This window comes from Homo sapiens, chromosome 3, assembly GCF_000001405.40.
Source record: "Homo sapiens chromosome 3, GRCh38.p14 Primary Assembly".
NCBI classification, from domain to species: Eukaryota; Metazoa; Chordata; class Mammalia; order Primates; family Hominidae; genus Homo; species Homo sapiens.
The window spans coordinates 148,957,341-148,963,600 of NC_000003.12; the positions used below are offsets into that span (position 1 = coordinate 148,957,341).

At 42.7% G+C, this 6,260-nt stretch overlaps 1 annotated feature.

Moving 5' to 3' along the window:
• Positions 171 to 672: an enhancer, noted in NCBI's record as "NANOG hESC enhancer chr3:148675298-148675799 (GRCh37/hg19 assembly coordinates)". NCBI's record gives its function as "activates a minimal SCP1, AML or CMV promoter by ChIP-STARR-seq in naive H9 embryonic stem cells {active_cell/tissue: H9 hESC(naive)}" and the evidence as "EXISTENCE:reporter gene assay evidence [ECO:0000049][PMID:30033119]".

Sequence of the window (6,260 nt, forward strand, 5' to 3'; positions counted from 1 at the left end):
GGAACAGGATAATTCGCTCTTTTAACTTCCACACATAGAGCAGGGGCCTCGACACAGATAACCTCAGAAGCTAGGCACAAAGTAAGTGAGGTGCATGGCTGGCTTCATCAGCTCAGGCTGCCATAACAAAATGGCACGGACTGAGTAGCTTAAACAACACAAACTTATTTTCTCACAGTTCTGGAGGCTGGAAGTCCAAGTTCAAGGTTCCATCAAGGTGAGTTTCTAGTGGGGCCTCCCTTCCTAGCTTGTAGCTACCTTTTCACTGTTCCCTACAAGGTCTTTCCCCTGAATGCATGCAGAGAGAGAGCTCTCTAGTGTCTCTTCCCCTTACCCTCGTGACCTCATTTAACCTTAATTGCTTCCTTGAAGGCCCTATCTTCATTCAAATCAGTCACTATGGAGGTTAGGGGTTCAACATGTGAATGACAGGAAGTGAGGACACAACTCAGTCCTCAACAATAGGCAAGGCAGGACTCAAAGGAACTGGAGGGGAGTCCCCCATCCATAGGGGGAGCTGCTGCTCAGCTCCAGCACATGGTTCCAGGCCTGACATGCAAGCCCACTATTCCTAAACCGCCAGTTTCACAGAAGCTGGAACTCTGGATGATTCCTAAATCAAATTTCTCATTTTGAAATGAGAGTCAGTAACTAATTAAAACATTATTTTTAACAGTGTGAGCAAAACAAGCCCTGTCCACAGGCAGGATTCAGCCTGGGGACCAAGAGTTGGTAGTTTTTGAACTCCAGCAGTAGTACTGGGCCCATGGCAAAGTCTTGCTCAATGCTTCGGCAGGAAATTGTCTATCGATGTACGTGCCACTGTTTCAGAAACTCTGAAATAAAATGAAGTGGAAAAAAAAAATCCTGACTTCTAACTGTTATACAAAGACTGCCTACTCCTCCCATCTCTCCCACCTTATAGGTCTACTAACAAGTAACTGCTGTCACTGTCCGCCTCTCCATTCCCATCTCCCCTGCCCAGCCACACAAACCTGGGCAGACCCTGGGTCTAGTTCTGAGGTCTGCAATTAATGGGAGAGAGAGAAACTGGGGTCAGTTGAGAAGCAAGCCACAAAGTGATTAGAGATCTGAAAAATAAAGATCAGGAGAGGTTAAATGAACCAAGGTGATTCCCTTTGGAGGAGAGAAGGTTACAGGGTGAGCTAGCGACGGTTTTCAAGTATATAAAAGGCTCATGCCTAGGACAGTAATAAGCGGTTCTCCCTACTGAGAACAGAACAAACAGAAAACACACTCCAAATGCAGCATGGGGATGTGGATGTTTCTTCCTCTAACACAGGTATTTGTAAGGACTTTTGAATCTGAATGGACTTTTAGAGTGGAAAAAGTATTTTTTCTTTGCATTCATTATCTCTCTCCTGATGGAGCAGGTTGTTAACAATGAAAGGAGGAGCCATATGGTAAAAATACTTTCATCTACATAAGAGGACAGTGATGTGATGTTTCTCAATGAAGAATGTATCATTTCTATATTTGCCTATGAGATCCACTTCATACAGGAAGCAGCTGAAACACAAATTGCTTTGGTAACATGTTCAAGGTCAGAGGGCTATAAACAGCCACATTTTCCCCGTTGCACACTTTCCAGTTACATACCAAGAAAACTGAGTTTTTCCTAGTAAATAAGGAGTGTAGAAGATATCAATACATAAATAGATATACATAAACAAACAAGCAACCTCTTCCTTAAGAAGTGTAGAAGCAGGCTGGGCACAGTGGCTCATGCCTGTAATCCCAGAACTTTGGGATGCCAAGGTGAGCAGATCACCTGAGGTCAGGAGTTCGAGAGTGGACAACATGGCAAAACCCTGTGTCTACTAAAAATACAAAAATTAGCTGGGCATGGTGGCACGCTCCTGTAATCCCAGCTACTTGGGAGGCTGAGGCAGGAGAATTGCTTGAACCCGGGAGGCGGGAGGCAGAGGTTGCAGTGAGCCGACACTGCCACTGCACTCCAGCCTGCGTGATGGAGCGAGACTCAGTCTCAAAAAAAAAAAGAAAAAAGAAAAACTATAGAAGTAGAGTCCTCCAGGGCAGAGGTAAGCTGCCTTCATAGGGAAGCATGGCATTTCCCAGAGGCCTCCATGGTGACTGGCATTTTCTTAATTTTCTAAGTTGAAGGTAGAGCAAAAGTGAGCTTATCTCTGGAACTCTACCCAGACTGACCTTCAAGAAAGCCCACGGAAATAAAGTCTTAGCTGTTTCCTTTGTGCTCCCTTTCTTCTCTCAGCCCCAGAACCCTCTTATTCCTGAACACGTCCACCAATATCCTCAGGGCCCCTCACAGAGAAGGCTGACCAGACCCAGAAACCAGCTTGTTACCCTACTTCCTCACAGCATCACTCTTCTTTAGGATTTCTAACCAACATGATATAGCCTTATGCCTCTTGTTAAGAATGCCCATTGTTACATGGGAATAAATTTTGGAGGGTTTCCACTGAGCAGGTGGGTTTCAGATAAACATGGGCCCTTGCACCTCTCTTCATGCGGGTAAAATCTGCCCCACCTAGTTAGTCATGGCATTTACTCAATCCTGATCTCTTTTCTCCTCCCCTTTCTACCACTTCCCAAGATGTATTTATTTGCCCTGATATTGCCTGTATTAGTCTGTTTTCACACTGCTGATAAAGACATACCCAAGACTGGGCAATTTACAAAAGAAAGAGGTTTAATTGGACTTACAGTTCCACATGGCTGGGGAAGCCTCACAATTATGGTGGAAGGCAAGGAAGAACAAGTCATGTCTTACATGGATGGCAGCAGGCAAAGAGAGCTTATGCAGGGGAACTCCTCTTTTTAAATCCATCAGATCTCGTGAGACTTATTCAGTATCACGAAAACAGCACAGGAAAGACTTGCCCCCATGATTCAATTACCTCTCACCAGGTCCCTCCCACAAGTTCCACAGGTTCCCTTCCCACTTGGGAATTCAAGACAAGATTTGAATGGGGGCACAGCCAAACCATATCATTGCCTAATTGTATTTTTCTTCTTGCTGGATTATTAAAGAGCCTCAGTATCATCTTTAAATGTTATTAGCTTAATAAGAATGAGAATGTGAGACTGTCAACATTAAATCAAAGAAGTGTTTTGCTTCGCTTTGTTTCATGTGATGGGACTATATCTAGAAGGCGTGATAAAAGGAGGGTAGCCCATTTAATTATACATCATAAATTGTTACCAGACATTTGGAATTAGGAAAAGTACATCAGGAATTACAAGGGCCAGCACATGTGAAAAAGGCTTAATTGAGACCATGAATTTGGAAATAGCTAAAGAGGCAGTTTATCTTACTGCTATTATATCTTCTAGTGTTGTTATGCTCTGGATTGGCTTGAATCACATAAAAATGGTTCTAAAAGGGATATGGAATCCATGTTTTATGAGTAGAGATTAAGTTATTTATTTGATATTCCATCACATAAATTTGGGAGCTAGACAAATCTGCATTCAAATCCCAGATCTCCCATTTGCTGTGAGAATCTGGCCAAGAAAGTTCATCCACCTCTAAAATAAGCATAAGAACACCAACCTCCAAGTTTTTCGTAAAAATTAACTTATGTAAGATACATCATACACATAGCAGTTTGTAGCACATATTAAGCTTTCAGCAGGTGGTAATGATTACCACCACTAAAATAATAGTAATAACATTTTCACCCCTCTTTGCTTTCTCAAACACTTCTCTAGATTCTAATCAGACAAACTTACCTTGAAAGCAGATATCAGCAACCTGGAATATTGTGGCAAAGGCAGCCCAGAAATTGTATCAGACATTGTACTTCCAGTGTCTTCCACTAACGTGCAAAAGTGTGCTCAGTGTATCCTGGGCCACCCTCCTCTTCATATCACCCTCCTACCACCGGGTCTCCTGAGTCCTCCTCTCCTTCCAGCAAACCCATCCATGCATACCATCCTCTGCCCTGCCCCAGTGTTACTCCTTCTCTCACCCTCCCCTCTTTAATCAAAACTCTCTTTCCTTCAGGATGGTTATATTCTTTGTGTGCTAGGACAAAAGTACCAGCAGTTTCCTCATCAGCCAACTGAGAGAGTAAATGAAAAGCTCCCAACTGCGCCAAGCCCTCATGTGGCCTCAGTAAATGTGAGTGCTCATCCCTCTTGTGTAAGATAGGAGATCCGTACAGGTTTACCTCTAAAACCCTGGGATTACACAGAAATTTAGAGCAAAGTATGAAGCCAGGGTAGTTTGTATGCTGGCAGAAAAGTTTTCTTAACCACTTTCTCCCCAACCCACACACCTCAACTAATCTTTATTTGGTAGACTATGATATATTTAAAGATATCTGAAGAAACTGTGTCACCACCCAGCCAACACAAAAAAGCCAAAACACTATCAAAATCCTCACCAGCCCACTTCCGAATAGTGGCTGGCCCCTGCTCCCCATACAAATATTGCTAGAGTATTTAAAAATAGAGTTAGCACCTGTTAAGGATGTTTGTGGACAGTCCAAGAAAACGTAGATCAGCTTCATCCTGGAAGGACCCTTGACCAAAAGCTGTGACCTCAAGCATGACAAGCTTTTTTGAGCAGAACTAAGAGCAAGATAGGCACCCCGTAACTAAGAGCAGCGTGGGTACCCCAGGGTAAGTATTCTGGTAACATTTGCTGAATTCAGGCTGGAGCAGTGACCTGATCGAGAGGTGGCATTTGCCATTAAGGCAGATTTGGAATTTGATGGGCTGGTTTGTCAAGCAAAGGACCATCCATGGGACTGATGGCTCCGTAAGAACCTAGTAATGGAATTATGTGCCTGGGATACACAGCTGGCAATTATATTCTCCACTTCAGGCAGCAATAAAGATAAAGTGCTTTATAATGTATTCATTCATTTCAATACAGTCAGTAGTGATGTTAGAATGGGGTTCCTATCAAGAAAAGGCAGAACTGCATTTGAGAAGGAAAAATGTGCTTTCTTAAAGAGATTATTTTAGAAAACACATGAATGTACATCAGAAATTTCATTAAATAAGTCAATTTGGCAGGTGATCCTAATGGGCTACTGGAAAAGGGGAATTAGAGCAATTGAAACAGCGGAAACAAATGAGCTACAGGTGTGCCTTCTTGTTGTCTCTGTTCTCATTTGGATTATTACAGGCTATGTCAAATACATTTTGAAAAGTTTGTAGTGTATCATCCCAATAATTATATCTGGAGTGTCTAGAAAGCATTGACTAGTTATATGATGGGGAGCTTAAGAGAGGAAATGTGGTTTCTGGGTTGTCCTCTCATAGGCTCAGCAGCTTCTTGATACTTCCCCTTATCCCAAGGCTGTCCTCCCCTCCTCTACCCAGGAGGAGATGAGTCACACAGGGAAAGAAAAGGACTCCTAATGCAAGAGGAAAAACACTGAGATAACCCCCAGGGAGGGGCGCTGTCCACAAGAGGCTGTGCTGATGCTCATAAAGAAGTTAGACCTGTGAAGGCACAAAGCTGCACTCCTAGCCTTGACCTCTTGCCAATATCAAAAAATGTTGTCTTTTAGGATGATGTGAATTTAAAGCTAACTCATAATCTTCCCCCTCAATTCCCAAATTAGCCTCTTTTTTGAATTTGCCTGTTTCACTAATTTAACTAACACATATTTATTGATAATTTACTATGTGCCAGGCACTGTATTAGGTGCTGAGGATAAAGCCATTAAAAAGGACAAAGTCTTGTCCATACACCCTTACATGCTAGTCAGAAAAAAATGACTTAATATATGATATATCGTCAGGAAGGATATAGTCAGGGAAGTCTTTCTAACCAGGGTACATTTTAGCCATCTCTATAGCTTAAGCTCCCTATCTCTATGAACCTGCAAGAATTTTTAGGAAAAGTAACATTTTGAAATATAGTGTATTAATTGAAAATGCCCATTTTTACAGGCATAAATGAGTGGAGAGGGCCAGGTAGGGGCTGAAAGTGAAGAAGCAAGGGAGGTGGGTCTCTGGAGGAAGAATGTTCAGAACAGAGGAATTGACAGGTGCAAAGGCCTTGAGTAGGGGTGATGCTTGCTTTGCTTAAGGAATAGCAAGGAGACCTGTGTGGCTGGAGAAAAGTGAGCAAGGTGGGATGGGAGGCAAGGCATGTCTCCCAGTTCTTATTCCCCTCCAGGTTGGAAACTGCAGGTAAACTACAGTATCTTTTACTCCTTCCACCTTTCTTTCATCCAGCTACATTTGCTTATCTTTTCTAAACAATGATTCTCTAAAATCATCCCTTCCCTACTTCC